Here is a 25,655-nt window from a genome sequence, read left to right on the forward strand (position 1 = left end):
TTGTACACAGAGCAAATGCTCAATAAACACTCCGTAAGTTCATGCAAGTAAAAGTAATTTGTTTCCCATCTAAACAAAGGAAAAACCATGTCTGATGGCAGCTTTCTTTCCGATTCTATCTGTTTAACCTCAAATTCAAAATAAGAAGAGGTTGTGGTATAACGTGTACATTATTTTCAGAAAAAACATATTTTTACATTCAAATATAACTTGTAATTAAGTCCAAGGTTATTTATGTAGTAGAGCTAAAATCCTTCTTATTGGTAATAGCTTTTCATTTAAATATAGAATAAGACTTTGGTTACATGATTAATTTATGTTGGAATATCACACTTTTAGTAAACTTTAGAAAATGTAAATACTAATAAAATGTTATAAAACAAATTTTATAAAGCATTCATAAACATAACTGCATACAATATATAACCACTTTTATTAAAATATAGCATTTAGACTATCATACCAGGTTATTCCTTCTAAAACATTTAAGTATTTCCTTTCAGTTACTTTTCAGTAACTAATAAAAATGCTTATTTTTCCTAAACATATCTTTAAAATAAATCTAATTTATCAGTATTTAAAATATTTTTAATAATGCTGCATGTTAATAACTTCCTACTTTCTATGTGCTCATTCTGTAACATGAGCTTCAGGTTTTCCTTTAATATAGAGGCTTAGTTTTAACTCAAACACACAAATATGCACTGGGCAGAGTTCTCAACTTGTATAATGCTTCTTTGTATTTAATATCATGCATCACCTACTTCCAAAATTCCTTTTGCTATCTGTTATGTTTAGCAAAACAAATGTGTCATCCAGCAGTGTCATTAATTAGAATTCCTTGTAAAAGGTGGTGAAGTGAGTGAAACTCTAACCTTAAAATATATTTTGGATCACTCTGCTTCACAAAACTTAGAGAAGACATTAACACTGCCCTTTAAAAATCAACCACTCAGTAAATGTACCATATACATTTTATCTATATCACATAATGAAAGAGTAAAACATAATTAAAAGACTGAAACTGACTTATTTTATTTAATGGAGGACATTTAAGGAGTGAAAATTTATTTCAAAGTTTTACTTAGATTTTTTTTAATGTGAATCGTTAGTTTTGTCAGACCATAATTGTCCTTAGCTACTCTTTAATGGTATTTAACACTCACCCATATTTCAAAGTTCAGATCAAATATATCTGATATTTGTCAGACTACGTTAAGTATGAATGTGATTATTGCAGGAGAACTTTTTATTCTTCTTAAAATAGTATCTTCAGGGAAAATTTTATTTCCATTTATATTGAACAATTAAAACAAAAAACATGAACAGAAACCTACACTGAAAAATTCATTTAATTATCACCTTACCAGCTCATAATTACTTCATTCTGAACTGAGATAACGACTGTAGTGAAACAACTGTATTTGTTTTATTGTATTATGCACAAAACACAAACTTCTAATGATTAGGTTTATTTTCAGTAATATCATTATTCTTAAATTTTACTTCAACGTAAAGAATAAAATAAGTAGATATTTAATGCCTTAACCAAATAATGCAAAACTTAACATATTTTAATCCCTATTTAGTGAAAACAAAGCACATGTTTATACATGGTCAATATTTTACTACTTAGGGGCTTAGATTTTTACTTCTGGCCAAAGGATACTCCACAGCCTCCTCGAAGTCAAAATTTCAGCCAGGCAAACAGTCTGTCAGTAACTATTGATTGTTTAGAGAAAATACTAGTGATTTATTGAAAGATCTATGCTTCTGTCTTTCAATAGTAAATGAAGAAGTAGGCCAAGTGAACCATGATATGATGACATGGAGAAAAGAATATCTCCAAAATTGCTGCTGCAGATGCAGAAGAAATAGAAAAGTGGCAAGTTGAAATCAATACTCATTTTAGACTTAGTGATGGAATGCTTCATAGTTACCAGACTGACCATAAAGCACAGGACTCCAGGTCAGCTGCAAAGGCCATAACCTTCTTTCCTTTTTCACTTTATAGTAGACATAAATGGAATTGTTCTGTTTATACTTAAATATACACGAGTATTTTATTATACAATCTGATATAAGACCATGTGAAAGTCTCATTGACCTTGCTGAGGATTATGCTGTTTGAAAGATTCTCAACTGCTCAAGAGGTAGACTTCTATAAAAATTAATCATTACTTGAAAAATGACTGATTAAAACAGATTACTGCTTTAATAAAATCACATGCCAAGGCTAGAGAAACATCCTTTCTTGTTAACATATCTTGATATACAAAGTATACTACCAGAAAAAACTTACTTTTCCTCAGATGATGATACAGTTTCTCTTGGAATGGGAATGTACCATAAGCCTGGATCAGGGTAAACTCTTGTTTTTATACAGACACAATTATATTTTTGAAACATGAGTAGCGGGCAAAGACTTCTCAACATATTCACTTGTTTCTTCATTCATCACCCATCCATTCATTAATTCACTGAATTGATATTTTCTGAGTGCCTACTACATATGCCATGCACTGTTGTAGGTTCTGGGGGTACAGCCACATAGAAAACAGACAAAAATCCCTGTACTTAAGGTATCCAATATTATCAGGATACACAAACTTACAGCTGTATAATATATTGCCACATATGAACAACTATTATTTTAGGGAAAGAAAGGAAAGAGGATAGTTCTGAAGCCTTTATTTCAGATCAGATGGAGACAGACTTCTTTGAGAAGGTGACATTTGAACAGGGATTACAATAAAGCAGGGAAACTTGTATTGCCAATACCTGAGGGAAGAATATGCAGGAAAAAACAATAGGTGAAAATGTCCTGACAGAGAACATGGCATTTATTAAGTCTGCTTCATTAAATGAAGTTTTGAGAATGGAAATAAAATACTGAGAATAATTGTAGATGGAAGTTGTGATGCTTCCTTTATCAAACAGTTATTACTCAGCTATTGGGAATTGAGAGATCAATATCTCCTAAGGCTGGGTTATGATTAGGTTCTTTATATTATGTAGCACAATTCATTAAGCCCTCCCAGTATAATATGTTTTTCCATTCAAAAAATAATATACACTGGTGTAGTATTTAATTGGTCATCTTACAGAGGCAGTAATACTCAGACTTAGAGAAAGAGCCACCAAATAGTCTGAAATTCACATACAGCTCTAGCTTGATAGTTGCAATTGTCCAATCCTTTGAAACTACCTTGACATGGAATTCTTAAACCATTGATAAAAACCTGCAAACATTTAAAGTTCTATTGAGTCTGAGATACCTTGGCCAATAATATAAACATTCTTTACTTTAAACATACATGGCATATTGTGTACATACATATATTTATTCATAACATATGTATGTAAACACATATTATATATTGGAGCAGCCATTAACATGTGCCAGTTGCCATATGTCACTCAATGTTTATTTCAACAACTTACTGTTCATCTTTAAGGAGTGCAGTTAATTGACAACTCCCAACAAATAATACTTGCAAGATCTGCTGAGGCCATGCTCTCTGGGTTTGCCCCTAGCCAATGACTAACCATGGCGTGGTCAAGGGAGGGCAGGAAGATTGGGACCTGGCCATTTTCACCCAAACAAGAACTCCTCTGATGGGCAGTCTTCACTCCAGAGCTTTCCAGAGAGGTGGCTGAGAGCCTATCAGATCTGTACTGTGGCTTGAGGCCTGTCACCCCTTTCTATCTGGATTCTTTCCTCTTTTATCACTCATAATTGCTACCTCCCAACAACTTTTTGTACCCTAAGTGCATCTGAGCATTTGTCCCCTGGAGCACCCAGCTGTCACATGTGTTTATAGATGTACATGCAAATATCTATTATTTTAGGGTAGGTAATACATTATTAAAACTCTTTTCACTTACTTATAGTATATGACTAATGCCACAAAAGGACAGACAATTATTTTGTAGTTAAATATATCCTACTTAAATGTTAAAGGGGGCTTTCATATAATGAAACATTTGACATTTGTGAATAATTTTTAATGAGAACGTCAATATATAAGGCAGCCTCAATAAAGCATTTTCCTGTAGGGTTTAATATAGGATTTGGTTTGGTTGTCATATCTAAATTGTTTATTAAAGGACCAAAAGATTCTTCTTAGAAGCTATTCTGATATTTGAGATGTCCCCATGTCATATAACTCAAGTGTCGGTGCAGGACAAATCTTTACTATGTGATATTTATTTTTATTGAATCCAGAAGTTCTCTGATTATGCAGGGATGTATTATAATTATAGTAATGTACAGTCAGCATATACATTCACAATTATAATGTGATTTTTGATAAACAAAAGTATTTTCGTTTATTAGTAAGACTTTCTATTTCTGGTACTATAGTTATCCTTCAGGATTTTTTCAACAATTTATTAAAAACTTGACTCATTGTTCAATTTCCACCTATGAGTGAGAATATGCGGTGTTTGGTTTTTTGTTCTTGTGATAGTTTACTGAGAATGATGATTTCCAATTTCATCCATGTCCCTACAAAGGACATGAACTCAACATTTTTCATGGCTGCATAGTATTCCATGGTGTATATGTGCCACATTTTCTTAATCCAGTCTATCACTGTTGGACATTTGGGTTGGTTCCAAGTCTTTGCTATTGTGAATAATGCCACACAGGAAGGGGAACATCACACTCTGGGGACTGTTGTGGGTTGGGGGGAGGGGGAAGGGATAGCATTGGGAGATATACCTAATGCTAGATGACGAGTTAGTGGGTGCAGCGCACCAGCATGGCACATGTATACATATGTAACTAACCTGCACATTGTGCACATGTACCCTAAAACTTAAAGTATAATAATAATAAATAAATAAATAAATAAATAAATAAATAAAATAACAGGAAAAGCAAAATAAATGTGACATGTCTAAAACAGTAAAATAAAACCAAAAAAAAAAACCTGACTCATTCTCAGAATAAAATTAATACAACTGAGGAAACTGTCAATTAATTGTTCTTCACTTTCAGCAAAAATGATTAAAGTCAACTGCACGAACAATTCAAGATTTGTCCTGATTATTCATTTGAAACTTCCTATTTTCCCCATGTTTTTCCATAAACGCAGAACACTTAATTAATATATTCTATACACAAAGAAATAGTTGAAATTATATGGGCAGCACTTTATTGTATAAATTTTCTTTATAGTGTCTAAGATCTACTGAACATGAAAAACATTTAACACCTCAGTCCATGAGATTAACATAAAAATTAGTGCTAATATAATGGTGAGCCATGTGGTTATATAATTTATATGTAAATTATCTCAAACTAAAAAATAAAATCAACAAAAAGTATATGTTATATTACTGAATCCAGTGGCAGAGGATATCATTTGAGGAATGCTGTTTCTACATTTTTAAATTAATTAGAAGAAAATTTAGCAATGGGAGTTTTGTTTAAAAATATAAATTATACCACGATGTAATCTAACATTTGTTTGACTAGGCAACAAAAATTTCCTGGCCTTCTCCCAAGATTATGTTATTCCTAGAAATATAAAATAATATTACTCCTTCATGTTATTCCATATCTCATGCTTACATCAAATGCAATTACTACTGCTTTTCAAGAAACAACCATGACAAGCCAATAAATAAAGTATTTTGACTTTGAGTTGGGTTCCCACTACAAATGAATTGCCACAAGAATAAATGACAAATTATTCATTTGCTATTCCCTCCCCCAAGTTTAACAGAAGCCTTAGAACCTTCAGTACATCTCAAACGCTGTAAGAGTAATTTATGATCCTGAAAGAGAACATACCCTATTGGGGCCTAAATGACCACAAACAATGAGCCATTTTATGAGTGTTAAGTAAGGAATCCAATAAAAAGGTGATTTAAAAAGCAGACATGACATCTTTGAATTAATCTTTGCTCTAACTGACAAGTAAATGCCTCTACATATTGGATATTTTTCCCCTTACAGCAAAAAAGGCAGTAACTAGTCATTTCATTATAGATAAGTTGCTTTACCACTTGAGCCTGTTTTCTCTTCCGTAACATAAAGAGGCTGTATCAGAGGTGGTCTAGTTAACTATATTCAGGGGTCAGGCACTGAAATGAGTGGGTCACTATAAATTAAGACAAAATACTGCTTTGAGCTATTTTGTTTTTTTTGGTTGTTTTTTTTGTTTGTTTGTCTTTTTTTTTTGAGATGGAACTTTGCTTTTGTTGTCCAGGCTGGAGTGAAATGGCACAATCTTGGCTGACTGCAACCTTTGCCTCCCAGGTCCAAGTAATGGTCCTGCCTCAGCCTCCCAAGTAGCTGGGATTACAGGAGTGCGCCACCACGCCTGGCTAATTTTGTATTTTTAGTAAAGATGGGGTTTCACCATGTCAGCCAGGCTTGTCCCAAACTCCTGATCTCAAGTAATCCACCCTCATCAGCCTCCCAAAGTGCTGGGATTACAGGCATGAGACACCGTGCCTGGCCTATGCAAGAAATTTTATGTAAGGGCATTGACATTCCAAACGATTATTAAAACCCATGTGAAATATATTCGCTCCACAACCCTCCAAAGCTCCCAAATTTCAAATTTTGGACCAAATTATCTCGAAATTCTCTCAAGCCTCTTCAATCTCTAAGAAGCAATCTAAAAAAGCCCTGATAATGTGAACCATTAAAATCAATATAACACAGGCACAAGATAGTAGAGGGGATTAATGCAGAAAATTATTTCTTACTATTTACTGAGTCCTGTTAGAGAATTGCATATCAATGTTTCTATTCTTTCATCTGGTCTCTAAATCACCCAAGTATCACTCAACGCTACATCTTCCAAGAAAAAAAAATAACTCAGATATTATGGGAAGAGAGCCAAAAACATCCCAGCTCATAGCCTAATACACACATTTATTGGGAACCTACTATGTGTAAGATACTGTCCCAGGCATTTGGGATAAATCAGATAACAGCACTGACAAAGATTCCTGCCCTTGTGGGGCTTATACTCTGCAGAGACAAACAAGGAAACAATCATTAAACTTTAAGTAATTCGTGTATATATTAGAAAATGGTGTGTGCTATGGTTTTCTAAAAAATAAACAAGTAAAAGGGATTGGGAGGGTGGGAGACAAGTGGCAGAAGGTTGAAGTATCTAATAGAAAGGTTCAGAATTGGCCAGGCGCAGTGGCTCACACCTGTAATCCCAGCACTTTGGGAGGCTGAGGCAGGTGGATCACTTAAAATCAGGAGTTCAAGATCAGACTGGCCAACATGGCGAAACGCTGTCTCTACTAAAAATACAAAATTAGCTGGGTGTGGTGGGGCATGCCCATAGTCCCAGCTACTCAGGAGGCTGGGGGCAGGAGAATCGCTTGAGCCCGGGAGGTGGAGGTTGCAGTGAGCCAGGATTGTGCCACTGCACCCCAGCCTGGGCGACAGAGCAAGATTCTGTCTCAAAAAAAAAAAAAAATTCAGAATAGACTCAGTGAGGTCCAATTTGAGCAATGATTTGAAAGATGTAAGGGATTTAAGCATCTGAAAGAGGCACTACAGCCAGCGCCCTGAGATGGCAGGAAGTGTCCTGAGCAAAACTGCAAGAGGTCAGTGTGAGAGAAGGAGACAATAAAAGGTCTGAAAATTCTCCTAGAAACCATTAACACTGTGCATTTTAGCTACTATATGGATTTTCATTCTAAGTAACTGTTGAAATGAGGTATCATGGCTAACAGCAACTGCTTTGGTGTTAAGCAGCTCTACTGTTTATCAGCTTCAGTGTCAAGTTGCTTAATCTCTGTGCTTCACCTAACAAATAAGTATAATTGCAGTATAAGTACCACGTAGGACTGGTTATGAGGATAAATGAGATTAATGCCAAACGTCGTACTGTGACTGGCATAGAGAAACCGCTCAATAAATTGTTTTCTCTGAACTTGCTACTTTCAACACAAAATTTTTCTCAAACAATGAGTATCAGTGATACCAGGACCATTCTAAAACTTATCTCCAACATCTATGCTCAGAATGATGAATCAATTAACCAACAAACCTCTACTATGTGCAAGGGATTATTTTAGGTGCTGAAGGGATACAAAGAATTTAAAATGCATTCCTTGATATTAATAAGAACATGATTTAAGTGAAGAAATAAAACATACACATAAAAACATAATTTAATATTCCTATCAATAAAAAGGAATAAAGTACTGCATCTGCACAAACACATTTGGATGACTCTTAAACTCACTGTGCAGAAATGAAGAAGCCACACACAAGAGCACATACTTGGTGATTCCAATTAAACAAAATGAAGACTATTCTATGGTGACAAAAGGAAGATCAGTGGTTGCCCAGATCCAAGGGAAGGTGTGAGAATGGTTTATAAAGGAGTATAAAGAATCTTCACAATCTTTGGAAATGTTCTGTATCTTGGTTGCAGCATTGTTTCACAAGTGTAAACAATTGTCAAAATTCATCAAAGTGTGCACTTTAAATGGGTTCTATTTACTGTATTCCTCCATAAAATTGATGATAGCAAAAACAAAACATAATAGTCATAATTGATCAGAATGGATTGAATAATCACTACAGTATATCTTCCACTATAGTTTGAACTAGAAAATTACAGGACAAGTTTAGTTTAGATATGCCAGGTCACACAATAATTTCCAGATATTTCTTGAATTGCATTAGGTCTAGAAATTTTGTTAAGCTTGAAGATAAAGTTCTCCTATTAAGTTGTCATTAGTTGTGGCTCTATTCAGTCAATGTCTGAATAACTTTATGTCACTGTTTCTTTGTTTCTATATGAAGAATCCTTTCATCTTCAAACTTTTTCCTCAAAAATTTTCTTTTTTTATACAGTTCATTCCCTCTTAGGACTGTCCCTTGCAGAGATTTCCAACACTTTCTTACTGCTTTCAATGTAACTATCAAAGATTTTAACTGCAGTTTTATTTTTTAAATATGGGCCATTCTGGCTTCTATCTGTAGCCCTTTTCCAAAGATGTATAAGAGAGGAAGTGGCATGTCTAACATGTCTAATCTTAAAAAGGACACACTTTTCAAAGAGTTTTATTTTCAAAGTTATCCTACTATTGGTTACCAATAATTATAACACATTTTTATGAAATGTCAAATAAAAGACATGCATATATCCGTAGGGAGGTAGAAAATGAAACGGGATATTGTGCTCTTCCTAGGATTCAACTTTGCTGTAATATTCTATGAGGTTATCATTCAATTGTTCTACAATCTAAATTCCCACATTTCAAAAATTTAATTTTCCTATGAAATTAATTGCTTAATATAAAAAGCACATTTATAATTTATTCTTCAGAAATGAATGCTTTGAAAATACATTTAAATAAGTGTTGATGGACATCATTAACAGTGAAATATAATTAAAAGAGTAAATTATTTAGTTGGGTTTTTTTAACCAGAATAAAAGATTTCTATGGAAGCTTTCTGTTCAGAATATTAAATGCCTAAGAAGTCATACTAGATTTTGAATGTAGTACCTATTCTGGAAAGCAAATTCAGGATTCTTGCCGACAGATTAAAAATTATTTCCTAATATAGATGACTCAAAGAAATACCTGTCAAACAGAGAGTTAAGACTTCTGAATGCAGACACAGCTTGAAAAAGAAGATGATGTATTTTCCATGGAGCATTTGCCGAAGAACTATTCAGCAGAGACATAAATAATTAAAATTAAACTACAGTCGCTAAAATAAATGAACGATATTCTGAAGCAATAGGTTGACTTTTAATCCTGATTTTCACTTACTTCCAAGCTCACAAAATTTAACCATCTGCAGCAAATCGCCACATCAATAATTTGAATTAGCCGGATTCCACCGTAATTTCTGAAGTGCACCTCACTCCAATTTCCAATGCAGTACAATTGAAAACGTTATCAGATAAAACTGGTTGCAGAAGGCTTGGAACATTAAATGCTTTGACAATGACAAATAGAATAAGGTGAGATGTGTCTTAAAAGGAGGGTCTTCCCACTACACTGTGTTTATTCAATTTTAGGGACACCCTCTGCCACATTAGAGGCCTTTTCATTTTCTTCTCTCCAGACAAGGATTAGTAGATGTGGGCCCTGCTTCCCCCAGGTTTATATTACTGTATAAGGGTAACCCTGTGAAGTAACAAGATTACCAGAGAGAAAATTTTTTAAAAAATTTAAAAAAGGGGGTAGATTATGTCAAAGCCTTCCTTGAAGAGAGAGTTAATTTGTTTTTTTCTAATATTTTGCAGGATGTATTAAAGAAAGTCTGTAGAAAGACAAGCAGGGAAATGTGACAACAGACTATACAAAGAATTTATAGGTTCTTATGACATTATTTTTCTTTGATGTAACCCCATGTTGGTGATGTTATAGAACTTTTGATATCTGGCAGAATTATGTCAAATACATGAACTGCAGTTTAAGAAGCATAAACGTCAGGTTGTTGAAATCTTCCACATCAAACTAATTAGAAAGAATTTTTGAATGTGAATTACAGCAGTTTATTAGACGTCATGGGAGATACAGAAGATGTACTGATATTAGGCACACAGAGGTATTTTAAAATATGTAATAACTGAAGAGACAAGACATGAAATATACCAAAAGGGATTTTTTTGTGTGTAAATTAAGCATCTAACCATAAAATAATCAGAGAATTAATCAATCTAGAGTAACATGAATATTATCAAGAGAAGGCTGAGCAATACAAATAAAAGAAATAATATCTCCCCATGGCTACTCACAAGAAATTAAACCTTGCTGAATGTCAGTTTCCCCTTTGTGACAGGGATCAGCCTAAAGGCCTAGTGTCCACAACATGTTGGACAATGTGGGATTTTTAAGTGCATAATAGATCCCAATCCTTTAAATCTCCAAACCTCACCATATCCTATATCACATTACACTTCAACTCTCCAGTGGAAGGGTAAGTATCTGGGAGTTCACCCTTTAAGGACAGTAGTTCTAGAACCCGTAGTATGTACTTGGGATCAGCCTCTAGTTGAGGTTATTAGGTCTAAGTCAGTTTTACTTTCTATTATAAGCATATTTGTCAGTATCAATTAAACAAACCCTCTCACTTGGGTAAAATATTTAGAAAACGGAAGGCATTTCAGGTGGGAAGGCGGGTACAAGTAAGAAAATAGAATTGGAAACAAGTATGGCTTACTCAAGATAGCATGAACAGACCTACTTGTCAGAGTGAGGATTAAAAGTAAAATTATTAAATAAATAGGGCTCTTCAATAGTAGGAAAATAATGTGGAGGAGCCTGTAATTGATATGACAGGTAATAAGGGAACATTTGCACATTTCTGAGCAACGGCATTCCGTGATGTTGTACAAGCCAGAGAGAGTGAAACCTAACTAAGAGAAACCAGCTAAAGCAGCTGGCAGGAATGATGTAATGCAAGAACGAGGTGATGAGCGCTACCTGGATTAGACTGAGCTCACTGGAGGTAGAAAGGAAGAGATGGTTCTCCTAAGAATCAAGAAAACTGAACTCATATTGAATTACCTCTTCAATTCTCTCAAATGTCATGCTGCCAGTGAAGGCCTTACCTGACAACCTCATGTAAAAATTAAACCTCCTTTTCTCATCGGTACACTCCTGTGTCCCATTCACTGATTTTTTTCTCTATAGAAGGTATCACTATCTGACACACTATTTATCTGGCTTTTGTTGTTTTTGTTAATGCTTGTTTCATACCATTAAAATGTGAGTACCATGATCCATGATTTTCATCTGTTCATTTCCCTGTTCCCCTGAGCCCACAAGAGGGGATTCAATAAATTTGAACTGAGTGAACAGAATGAATTAATATCCAATAAAGAAAACAAAGATGAGGCTGGGCACGGTGGCTCACACCTGTAATCCCAGCACTTTGGGAGGCTGAGGCGGGCGGATCACAAGGTCAGGAGATCGAGACCATCCTGGCTAACATGGTGAAAACCAGTCTCTACTAAAAATACAAAAAAAATTAGCCAGGCATGGTGGGAGGCACCTGTAGTCCCAGCTACTCAGGAGGCTGAGGCAGGAGAATGACGTCAACCTAGGAGGTAGAACTTGCAGTGAGCCGAGATTGCGCCACTGCACTCCAGCCTGGGTGACAGAGCGAGACTCCGTCCCCGCAAAAAAAGAAAGAAAATAAAGATGAGAAAACATTAATTATGCTTTCAAAGTTCCCCACCTGGCGTTCTGGTACAAAGTTATATACAAGCAAGAACTTCATTAAAGGATCTCAAATAAATCTTACAATCTTAAAAGGAAAGTTCAACAATAGTTCGATATCACGTGACACTAAGAAAAAAATGTGATTTGACCAGTAGGTAATCAAAAACAGACTAAACAACAATCCAAAGAAACTGCCAATAGTCCACAAGTTCTTCAGTAAATGTGAATTATAGCAATAATGTGCTAATTTGTATTCACTAAATAGGTTTTCAAGCTTTCAAAATGTTTAAAAATGTTTTCATTTATCATTGCAACACGCATGGCGAATGGAAGATGGAGACACTAAGGAGTTAAATAACCTCCCATATGCTGTCCTTCCATATTAATGAATAGAACATTACTTGCTTCTATACCAAACTAGAATTTGGTGGGAAAGTCATGAAGTTCTCCAAAGCAAAGTTAGAGCCATTAGATTAAGAAAGTGAGTGTAATAATGTACTATTTTTTTCCTTTAGAAAAGCGTAACCTCAATTGGCCATTGAGAAGGATGGCTTTATTAGATGATGAGGAGTCTGAAATATCATTAATTCACTCATCAGCATCTAGAAATATTCTTTAACCAGGGCAAGACAAAGAAAATGCATTTATTCTCAGCAATATTCATTATACCAAAACATTTATTCATTTTGCTTAGAATCACTGAAGTAAAAACAGACACAAATTAGAAAAAAAATAAAGCAAATGTTGAATCACATTCTGAGTTTAGAATAGAAGAAGAACAAAAACAAGTTTTCTCGGGAACTGAAAAAAAAAAGAGGTCATAAATATTAATGTACTAGATCTACATAAAAAAATTCTAAATGCAGGATTTTCATAACTCTAAACCAGAAATCATTTTAGCTTATCTTGGAAAACACTACCAGTGAAACAACTTAATATCAGTTAATTTTGTTTTCTAATTCAATTTGTGAGACAGCACTGGATGTATTGAGAAACAGTACATCTCCTGATCTTCTAAGATACCATGTAACTTGGGAGTGCTGAGAATATATTACAGCACCCTGGTAAAAACCCATGCATGGTGTAGTTTGACCTTAGTGGGGAGCTTTAGCTTTCACCATCAGGTTCTGACTTGCTATTTCCTTACTGTGTAATGTGAAAAAGTTTTTATCTTGGTTATTTTTTCTTATCTGAAAAAAGGAAGTCAAATGTCATTGTCCCTTTATCTCAGATAGTTATTATAACAGATAAGAAAATGCTTTTTACAAGTCAAAAATGAATTAATAGATTAATTTAATGTATTATTCTATAAGTTTACCTAAATCAGAACTACTACTACTGTTACAATTAGAAAATGATAAGGAAGGGAAGAGGAAGTACATTTAGAAAACTGCTTTTACAAACCAAAAACAAGTATTTATGAATAAAAGATGAAGCTGCTGAGAAAAGTAGAAAATTACAATAATATCACTTTATTCAAGAAGATATTGGGCATGTATTCCCAACCAGCACCAATATATTATTTTTCAGAGATAATGTTACCAGGAAGAATAAAGCTATGTTTATTTAGACAGGGCCAGAACTTTTTTTAAAAGATAAACTAAAATAAGTAAGATACTGGAATTGATTTGAGGACCCTTTGCAATCTCTTTATGTTCTCTGCTTTCTAGGTATTCACTACCAGACCTCGCCAACCTAAATTTTAACTCTCTCTTTAGTCTTGTTGACCAAAATGACTTTTCTTCAATCTAAACCATACTGAAGCTGAATTCAATCTAACTATAGGAAGACATTAACATGGTTCAAATAAAGCTTTGCATAATAACTGTTTCTATTATGTTGATGGTCTTGGAGGTAACTAACTGTTAATTCATCTTTAACTGAAGAATTATTATAGAAGTATTCTGGGGGAGGTGTTTTTTTGTTTTGGTTTTTGTTTTTTGTAGTGACATGTGCTCTCAGTGTACCACAATATCATAGCCCCACCCCCACAACATACCTTATGGGCCTTGTGCATAAGCATTCTGTAAATTATAACACAGGATAAAATGGGGCTTACTTGTATCTTCTCCTAATGGAAAGCCTCTCCTTTAGTTGTGAAAACTTGAAATTATTTCCTCTCAATACGTCCTTAGGCAAAGGGAGCTGTGTTGGCAAAAGCCAGAGAGAGATGATGCTTGGCTCAGAGCTGAATGGCTCAAAGGTACTTTCAGGATAAAATTGAACTTCTGTGATTTACTCATTTGAAATAATGAGATTTGGAGTGTTCTAATATAATCCACAAATACAAGACAGTAAGATCTGAAACGCCGGCTGTAGCCCTGAGATTAATAACCTCTAGCAGTAGTTATCAAATATTTTAAAATAAGAGACCCTTCCTTTATAGACAATCATGGGAGAAAGCCCAATGTTAAAACAGAGAAAAGACTATGTCTCTGCTGGAATCAGGGCAAGGGCTCCAAGTCCTGCTCTTTCCGCACTCTTAAGCCCCAGCAGTGGTCCTCAGGTCCCTCCCCAGAACCCTTAGGCTCAGTAAGGCATGACCTGAAATCCATTAGCCTTACATAATTCTGTGAAATTTAGAACTGAAGAATCCAGTTTGTTCCATAACAGCAATTTGACTGAAATACATGAGACAAGTTAGAGTGGCCAGGCCAGAATACTAGAAATTAAAGTATAATAATAATTTTAAAAAATGACATAAAATAAAGCTGGTAGCTTTCACCCTAGGCTTCCTTGCAGCCCCACTCTCTTTCTACTAGGTCTTGAAATTTAGAAAAGGTATCTTGAAATCCCTAAGTATTAAATAGTCCATACGTGAATTTTACAAATGTATCCAAGTTCATATTTGGGAACATAAACGATGGTAAAATGGTTCTCTTCTAAGTAGGGAATGGGACCGTGTGGAAACTTGTGAGGGGATGTCAGAGGTAGTGCAGTAAACTGCTGATGCAATACAAGGAATGTCCTTTTCTGTGCTAGAGCTAACTCTCCCATTTACCAGTTGATTAACTTTACGCAAAACACTTGTTATTCAGTTTCTCCATCCATGAAACAACCTGTCTGCATTAAATGATCAGACCTTTCTTTTTAAAAAGATTACTAATCTGTATTTTATCTAGATACATAATATTTTTGCTGAGTTGAAATAAACTTTCTTAATTTTCATATTCCCTTTTCATTATAATCTCTATCCTGAGAACCATATTCATATTTTCATCACTGCTGAATGTTGTCTCCCTGGATGTCTTCTTAGAACTTGATCTAAGATGAATGTTATTCTCCCACAGGCACTTTCAGAAGCATAATCCTTCTGGGTACTTATATCCAGGCTCTTCAAGTCGCCTTCAGTTCTTTCCTTTCACTTCTCACATCCAATTCAACTACTCCAATGTCTTCATTCATTCATTTTTTTTATTATCTACTTTGTGATTTGTCCCACTGAAAGAACAAGACCCAGGCCATGTCCTAATGAAATTGTAAATCTAGTTTCTCATGTTTGGTCCTTTCCTTCTTTTCCTCATATTATCATCACAGTTCAGCCCACTTTTATCTTAACGTTTTAAACAACCTCTTAGCTTATTCACCTTCCTCTAATGATCCCACCTTTCCTCAGCACTGTAATTTGGAATTCACTCTGCCATTAAGATGTCTTTTTAAAGTGGGACTCTGATAATGGCAGCATCCATCCCCAACCCTCTGACACACACTGTGTGTTGACTGCAAAATAAGTTTATAAATCCAGGGTTATAAATGCAGCTATTTAAGGAACCTGGTAAGACACATAAATGTGTGAGTCTGGTTAGGGCACACAGTAGGGAGTAAGAGAGCCTAGGGAAAATTTGGAGAGGCTATGTGCTGCCCAGTGACTTTCAAATTCAATTAAAAATAACTACATCTATGAACCAGAAAGCTACCAATTCTTTCATTCCAAACCTCCCTTGCAGCCACATTTGTGTTGCAGCCACACAACATCCCTCACTATAATCATGCTTTGCTTGAAGCTGTTCCAATATTTCTAATGACACTGTTCTTTCTTTCAGGTGTCCTCTTTCCCAGTGAATCTATCCTCATTTCTCATCTCTTCCCTGTCAGCTACCACTTATCCAAGCACTTTTTTTCCAGTAAGAATTCATCTCTTGCTCTCCTATATGGTCATTATATTTTATATTTTACATATTTATAAACATGACATATGTATTTATGTTCCACAAAGGGCTTTGAATAGAATTTACACATAGAGTTCCCTGGGTTGATGTGTTTATCAAAATGGAAGATAAAGTGAATTAATTACTTAAATATTTAACACTATTGAATAGAAATAACTTCCCCAATATTGCTTCATGATTTAGACAGTCTATTAAATGTTTAAGCAAGGCACTAGACTAAGTTTATTAAGACAAATTTTGGAATATGTGCAGAAATATGACCTGGCTAATAGTACAGAGTCAAAGCTGGTTGAATGGTGTTATATAGTGGATTCAGATTGATGTGGCAGTGGTGGTTACACTAGGGGCACTAAGGTTATCCCTACTGGCACTCTGAGGACTCTATTCTCTACCACACTTTTTTCCATTAAAAATACCAAGTAGATTAATATCATATTTGTAGATAACACAGGGATAGAATTACATACGAGGAGAAAATATAGCTTACTTATATCCATGTACTAAAATGGAAATCAGAAGCATTTCTCTTCCTTTGACTCCTCATCTCTACTTTCTCTTCAGTAATCCATACTATAAATGACATCACCATTCACCTAGAGTCTTCTCATGAAAATCTGGGAAGCAGTCTTGACTCCAGTCGTGCCCACATCTTTGTAACTAATCAACCAACAAACCCATAGACCCTAACTCCTTAGCACATATCAAATCTATTACTTATTTTTCACCTCTGATGTTAGGAAAATAGTGTAAGCTTCTGGTATCTTTCTTGACTAAATAATTGTTGCTATGCTGTTTTCTTATCTTTGGTTCTGCATTTTTTAAATCTGTTCTCTTGCCAGAATAATCTTTTGAAACAACCAATCTGATCCTGTTCCTTAAGTCTTTCCATCATCTTGACCTTTATCTGTTTCTCCAGTTTCATCCTTTAGGTTCCCTTGTTGCATTAATACTCAATTGCTTGCAACCTGCATTTCTCTTACATACTTACATTATGCTTCTGCCTGAAATGTGTCTACCTATGCTAGACAAATATAATGGCACCACAATGATGTATAAATCTTAATCTCCAGAACCTGTGAATAGGTTGGATTACATGTGGATTACATGTGTTGCGGCTCAGAACATACCCCAAAGTATGGCACCCTGGCATGCTGAGTACTTGGAACTGAAGGAAATTGGAAAAGCCTCAGAAACAAGGTCTCTGACCTTTTCCTGCCCTCCTCTCTCACACCCCTCTTTCTCCCCAGAAGCAAGTCATAGCAACCAGAATTGCATTTCTCCAAGGTCTGTCTAGAAACTAAAAGTCTTCTCCCCTAAAGTAAGCCATAAAATGTAGAAAGGTCACTCTCTCCCTTTTCCCTTGAAGACTCTCATTGCCCTATACTCTGGAGGGAAAAATGCTACAAAGAGAAGAATCTGAAAAAAACCAAAAAACCAAAAAAAAAAACAAAAAAATAAACCAACCTTTCTGGATTTCCCCCCTCAGTCTATTACCATTAGATTATACTCTTTTGTCCAATCACATTTCTACATGGCGGTTCATTCTTCACTGAAACTCAGTATAAAAAGTACACAGTTTTCCCTGGGTATTTGGGTCTTCAACTCTGAAAGTGCCTGTGTTACATGAAACTTTGATTAACTAAGTTTGTTATACTTTTCTCTTGTTAATCTGTCCTTCATTACAGCAGTGTTGGCTGTGACCTTTACGAAGGGTGAGAAAAAGATGCCCTTATTCTTTTTGCCCTTAAAGATAGCAAAGGCAATTAAGGTTGAAGATGTTAATTACGTTTGCTAATCAGCTGACCTAACTATAGGGTAAGAACCCTGGACCCAATGTTGTCACAAGCTCCTTACAAGTGGAAGAAAACAGCAGAAGAGGAGTCAGAGGAAAATGTGACTACAGAAGAATGGTCTGAGAGATGCAAGGTTACTGGCTTTGAAGATGAAAGAAAGGAGTCACCAGCCAAGGAATATAGGCAGCCTCAAAAAAGATAGAAAAGGAAGAAAGCAGATTCTTTGCAAGTGCTTCTAACAGAAATGCACCATTGATGACAAATCAAATTTACCCCAGTGGGATCCATGCCAGACTTCTGACCTACAGAAGAGTGAGATAATACATTCACGTTGTTTAAGCTATTACATTTGTAGTAATTTGTTATGGCATCAATAGAAAACTAATACACTACAATGTCACTCTAGCCAACACTCATCACTCAACAAGACTCAGCTAATGAAGAATGTTGGTTTCTGTAAATAACTTATATTACAGGGCTTTTAACTATTGATGAGACTTCCATGTAAAAATGTATTCACCTACTGAGCTATAAATCCCTCTAGAACAAATACCAAGCCTTATTTATGTTTGTATTCACAGCATCTTGCATAGGACCCTTAGTAGATAATTTACTACTTTTAATGATTGAAGGTAGAATTGAATAGTAATGTTTCATGTTTTAAAGTGGGCTGACAACATCAACTCTTGAGTAGAGTACAGAAAGGCTGACTTATGAGCAGTTCATGTGGAAAAACTTAGAGATTTCAACTGACTAAAAGTTCAGTATGAATTGATAAAACAGTAACACTGACAAAAATACATACACACATTCACACATACACACACACACACACACACACAACCACACCCCTACCTTTGATTTTAGATGGCATTAACAGAAGTATTATTTCCAAAACCACAGAATGCTTCCATTTTACTATGCCTTGCTCAGATACCCAGGGATAGTATAATTAATTTTAGACTTGGCTTTAAGAGGTATCCTGACAATTAGAGCATGCCAAGATTAGGAGAAGGAGACAACCAGCAAAGAGATGGTAAGGTCTTCAGCACTGTGAAGGATGGTTTGAAAGAACCAAAAAATAAAATATGGAAGAGAAAAAATCTGAATTTGGGTATAGGAGTTGCTATGGTTTGAATGTGTTCCCCAAATTTTGTGTGTTGAAAACTTAATCCTCAAATTAATACGCTGACTGGAAGTGGGTCCTTTAGGAGGTAATTAGGATTAGATAAGGTCATCAGTATGGAGCCCCCTTCATGGGACAGGTGGCTTTAAGAAGAGGAAGAGAGACCTGAGCTGGCAGGGACTCTCTTACCCTCTCACCATGTGATGCCCTCCACATGTTATGATGCAGCAAGAAGGCCCTCACTGGTTGCTAGTGCCATGCTCTTCGACTTCCCAGCCTGCAGAACTATAAGAAATAAACTTATTTTCTTTATAACTTACACATTTATGGTATTTTCTTATAGCAACAAAAAATAAAGATGGGGTGGAGAAATATATTTATAGAAAGTATTTTTTTAAGTAAATGAGAAATTAGACATAATGTTTTTAACTCTAGAGAAATTGAAAACAGAGCACAGCACATCGGATAAATTCAATAACTATCTTAAGAATCAGCAAAACAACATGCAGATGGCTGATTGGCAATAGTTTCAGTAGGCAGATTTTGATTAAAATAAAGAAAAACTTTTTAATAATTAAACCTCTCCTTAAAACATTATGACTTTATGAGGTAACAAGGTAACAAGTACAGCCTTCTGAAAGCATAAACAGCGTTTACATCATCACCCATTACTTAACTAGCAGAGGAGTTTGTTTGAATAGGCATTTGGACTAGGAGACTTCTAAAGATTTTGTCAAATTTGTGACTTCATTATTTGTTAATTAAGTCCCTCTCCATTCTAAAGCAATTTCTGTGATTTTTCTGATTGTGGTAGACTTCACAATTATACTGATTTAAAACACATTACCATGTACTTTCTGGCTCCTAGTAAATTGCTATTCACTTAAGTGTTATCTCTGAGTCCTAAAGTGTTAACAGACCTACCAAATTATGTGAGGAATCTCGCCTTCCCCCACACCCCAACAAGCTTAATTTTCTCTTGAATATTTATCTCACTCTCTCATAACTTTCATATAATTTCAAACTCTCCAAAACACACCCAAAAAGGGAGCTGAAGGACAGGAAGGGATTATATATTTTTTCCATGGTATATTCTCTTCTAATGCAGAAAGGCAATTAGGCAAAACAAGTTAAAAGCAAGCTAAGCTTTTTCTTCTTGAGCAGTGTAGAACAAAAGGCTTTATCTGATTTATGCTAAAACTAGTTCATTGCAAGCAGGATCTTAATACCCTAATCAAAGAAATTTAAAAATAAATTAAAGAAAACATCTCACCTTTGTTACTTAGAGGCAAAAATTACGACAAAATTATTTCCTGGTCAGCATTCTTAGACTAGCCTCAGCTATTTTTTTTTTCTTGAATTAAGAATAATGAAAATCACCATAAAATGAAACAAAAAAAATGTATCACAAAAATATTTTGCAATTCTCTTTCTGCCCCCTTCCATTTTACTTCCTTTCTCAACATTTGGGATTTAATGAGCTTTAAAAATATGTATACAAAGGATAACTGTCTTTGACTTTTTTGATCTTTCCTCCATGTAGTTTGTGATTTAAAAAGTTAGTTGTTTCCTTTGAAAATTAATTTTATTTGACTCATCATTAGACACCCAATACTCTGCCACATGTTCCACTATTGTGCATTCACTATTCACTAGAAATACATTACACACTTTACCGATATTCATATACTTCATCCCCATAGCTAAAAGAGATTTTTAGATTTTACTATCTGTGCTTTACAAATGAGACAAATGAGTTTCAAAGAGGCCAGATAACTTTCCCAAAGCCACACAGCAGATACATCATGAATCTAGGGTCTAAATGTGGGTCTACTTAACTCCAGTCTCCATGATCCTTGGCTATGCTTGTGCAACAAGATTTCCTCAGCATCTTTCATGTACCAAGCTCTACCCTTAATTCAAAACTGAAAATATCAAAGCCCCTGCCTTCAGGGGTATCACATTCTAACAACAGTGACTGACCAATAATAAATGCAATCCAGCTAAAGAACTTTATAATAGAGGTAAATATTAGGTATAATGGTGTTCCTAAAAAAAGAATAATCCACCTTTCCTAGTTTGGGGTAGGAGTGCCAGTGTGCGCAATGACTGAATATATACTGCTAACAGCTAATCTTTGACCAAAAAAGTAAGATTCAGTCTATCATTGGATTCTGCTTCCTCTATAACTCCAGGAATCAGCCATGCCAAATGTGCTAAGGGCTTCCAACTCTGCACAGATCTCACTGGGGCTAACTCAAGGGCTGGACAATGCCATCTGACAAGTTCCACTGACATTAAAAAATACTTGTCTGGTGTCCCCTATCATCAAATCCCTCCTTAAGAACAGATACATCAGTTAAAATTATGTGGCACTTTCAAATACTATCATCATGATTTATTGCAACAGATGGGACCACTGAGAGATTTATCTTTGGCAAGGGGATAATTTTTGGATCCCCCTCAAATCACATGCAATATGTAACCATCTATGAATAGAGCTTCCCTAGACCCTAAAGTTGCCCTCTCAGGCTGCTGTCATTACTCTTTCACATCTATTTCTACTTGGAGAAATGAGTAACACCTTGCTCTTGCAGTGACAACATTACAATCTCGTGTTCTTGTCCCCATAGGAGCTTGACCTTATCACCCTCATCACTCTCTCCCTGCTTTTTCTTGTATTCACACTAATCTTTCAACCACTTCCTTTATAGTTTTTTTTTTAAATCTTACCATACATTTCCATATAATTTCTATACCTGAGTCTGTCATTTCTGAATGTCTAATAAGAATACTGTCTATTATTTTTCAGTAGAATCCATGGACCAAATTTCTACCCCAATAAAGCCTGAATTTTGTACATACAACATATTCTTGTTTTATTTAATGGTTCTTTCTCCACAATTTCCAGAAAAAAGGGTCATTATCATCATCCTTTTCCATTGCATCAAGATATATTTGTGCCAGATTTTAAACGTGAGCTCAGTATTTGCTGTTTAGCTTTTCCTTGTCTGGATCCTTTTTCCATTGTACATTATTGAGAATGATCCTAAAACATATTACAAAGTGTCCATAGGTGGGCATTACATACAAAGTTTAAAAGTTGCCACATATTCAATTTGATTTTTGTTTTGTCTTTTTGTAAAGCACATGGTCTGAACTCTACACAATGAAAATTTTAATGACCTTTACAACAAGATTTGAAAGAGCTCAGTGACATCTTTACTAATGTGAAAACTGACAATTTAGTTTCAGGGATGAAGGGTAGATCTAATAGAATAACTACATTTTTTTTCAGTCCTTTCATAATGGAGCAACTTCTTTTAAAGCAAGTTAATAATTATTCTTTTTATTATCAAAAAAAGTCTTTCAATGCAGAAGCATTATGAGGTGAGTTATCAAGTTGTACATGTCACTGCAAGGAAAAAACAAAAATCCTCACCATGAAGATTAAGTCCTCAGCTTTTGGAGGTCAAAGGTCAAATCAATGAGTTGATAGCACTAGTCACAAAGTGACTGGGCATTAGATCTTCTGGGGGAAGGAGTGATCTCTTTTAAAGTACAGGATGCCAATCTGCCATAACCTAGTGAATAAAATCCTCTGTTAAGTTCCTTGAAAAATCTCTATTTTAGAAAATGCATCCCAGGTGATTGTGGGAGTTCCTCAACTTCAGAATTTAGGGAAGCTCTATACATAGAGGGTTACATATTGCATGTGATTTAAGATGGTACCAAAAATTATCCCCTTGCCAAAGATAAATCTCTCAGTGGTCCTGTCCTGTTGCAATAAATCAAGATGATAGTATTTGAAAGTGCCACATATTTTTAACTGATTTATCTGTTCTTACACAGGGAATTGATGACATGGGACACTAGACAAGTATGTTTTAATGTGAGTGAAACATGTGAGTAACTGCTCTGGGCTGTCCCTCTGAGAACTACTAGGTAGAACAATAGTAATGATCTCAAGGTTTGCACTGATGTTTGAGCAACTGTTCAGATGTTCTGACAGGGAAGTGAGCTACTTGAACATGTTTGATTAAAGAATGGTTCTCCTATGGGCTTTCTCTCTATTCAGGGAATAACATGCTTAAAGTAGTTAAACAAAAAAAAAAAAGAAAAAAAAAAGAAATAAACTGGAACCTAGCCTAATAACTGGCATTCGTTCTATAAATAATGAGGACAAATGCCAAACCAAAGAGTCCTCACATTCATCAGTCTAGGTGTTGGCTTTCTTTGGGATCAATCAGCTTCTCTCTTCTTCCACCTCATTGGTCAGTGCAAATCCAACTGCTCTTTAAGACTCTTAACTTCAGCCAGTCCTCTGGAAAAGAATGCCACTGGTCACTGAAAGTACCGATGGGTCAGTGTAAATCCAACCACACTGCTGAGAAAACAATTCAAAACGCATTTCTGCTGACTGCCAGACAAGGTATTGTTTTATTTAAACAATAAACACCTGAAAGACAGCTGTTAAAAGCCATCACATCATTCTTTTAGGTCAGTATAGCATCAAACATTATCTGTTCACTGAGTTTAGAGGAAGATTTCTGGCAGATTTTGCTACTAGCAATCTATGAAATCCTATGGCTAACTTGTGAACTAGGGTTTCCCTGTGAAATGGAATCACAATTGGACAATTTAGGGATTTCCATCCCTCTAGCAGCAGTTTAGCCCAATCTAAATTTGATTGTTTCCTTAAATGGAGTAATTTAATTTTCTCCAAATGTCTACAGACTTTATAATGCCAAGTCCAGAAAATGAAAGGGAAAACTGGGTCAGTTTCCCAGGTAACTCAAGCCAAAGAATAAAATATTGCTTTGAAATTCCTTATAAAGCATAAGTTGTTTTAATTTTCTGAATTATCTTATTCATTGTCTCAGTAGTGTAATTGTATAGTCTATACCTGGGTTATGCAATAAAATAGTATTTTAAACATGAAAGAAAATATTAGTCTCAGTTCATAGTTCTTTGAATATCCCTGCATTTTACCTGTTTGAAAGTTAACACGAATAATTAATAGAGAGTACTTCAGCTGCTCCTATTGTGAATGGACTATCATGGGGTCGTAGGTACATGGCAAACAAGCCAAACAGAAAGGGAGAACTGCAGTTTTGTGCAATAGGCATTTATATAAGTAGGTATAATATGAATGCAAAAGAATACATCCCGAAAATGGTAGCTATTATTATACATGTGGCTACATTTCTTAATATAAACCGTGAAAACAACCATTCTGAAAAGCTGTGCCTTTACACCACATGTAACAGTCCCACATAAAGCAGAATCTCCTTGGTGATTACAGTAATAATGACTACGATTGAATGAAACCCTTTAGCTCTCACTCTCTTTTCGAAAGGACAAGTAATAGGACATACATTTTAAGCAAAATATGGCCTCAGGCACTGTAGTACTGTTGATGCTTTTTAATTCGAAGATTTCCTACCATTGTAGTTCTTCAGCACAGGTTCTATGGCTTAGGACAGCCGGCTGTGGACCTGGACGCACTGATAAGTCATCTACTTGGACATACAATAATGTATCTGTGTGCTGAGAAAGAAAAATCAAAGGCTTTTGGGTGTTTATGCCTACTTGATGATCTCGGAAGAATGAATCAATTTATATTTATTTTAGTGAAAGATAAGCTACATGACCATAAAATATAAGATCTACTTCATTTTTTGAAACTTTCCATCACAAATTGCCAAAAGATCCTTCCTGAAAACGTCGCAATGAATCATGCTATTCAGAAGCCAAACTTCCAGGATCCTCTTCCTGTTACTTGTATAGACACAGAGACATGCAAAGATTAATTACTGTCCCTTTCTTAAAGAAATATTCATTTAAGACTGAGATAATTAGAAAAATGTGAAAAGAAACCTTTGACCATCAGTGGTTGTGAAAGTGGTTTTTAAATCTTTTCCAAAATTTCTAGAGGCTTCTTGCATTGGACAGGGAATGAGAAAGATAAAAAGTGTCAAATCTGAGGCCACTTGACCCACAATACGATACAAAAACTTTTTTGTTTTCGTTGACTTTGTTTATTCTTCATAGAAAGATTTACCTTGGAGCAAAAAGGAAAAAGAAATTTAAAAATTAGTGTACTATGAGAAAGAAAAAATATCCAAAGTAAAACCCAAAGGAAACTTGACAAACTTGTTTAGCTAACCAACCAGTTGATCATTAAACAAGAATTTATTGAGTATCTATTTGTGCCAGTCACTGCTCTAGGGACCCTTGAGACACATCAGGGCAGGGTAGAGATTTCTGCCTTCACCAGATTCCTTCCTCTGGTGAAAGGAAGACAAATAAACAAAATAAATGAGAATTTTTTTAAAGTATGTTAAAAGATAGTAATTTCTATGAAGAGAAACTAGATCATGGTATGGA

The 25,655-nt window shown here is 35.1% G+C and overlaps 1 protein-coding gene across 15 annotated transcripts in view; it reads right to left on the bottom strand.

Annotated features, from left to right (window-relative positions):
- The window catches only part of NRXN1 (neurexin 1), a 1,113,630-nt gene that overhangs the window by 970,902 nt on the left and 117,073 nt on the right, over window positions 1-25,655 (bottom strand). The window lies entirely within an intron of this gene.

The sequence above is a fragment of the Homo sapiens genome, chromosome 2, assembly GCF_000001405.40.
Source record: "Homo sapiens chromosome 2, GRCh38.p14 Primary Assembly".
Taxonomy (NCBI): Eukaryota; Metazoa; Chordata; class Mammalia; order Primates; family Hominidae; genus Homo; species Homo sapiens.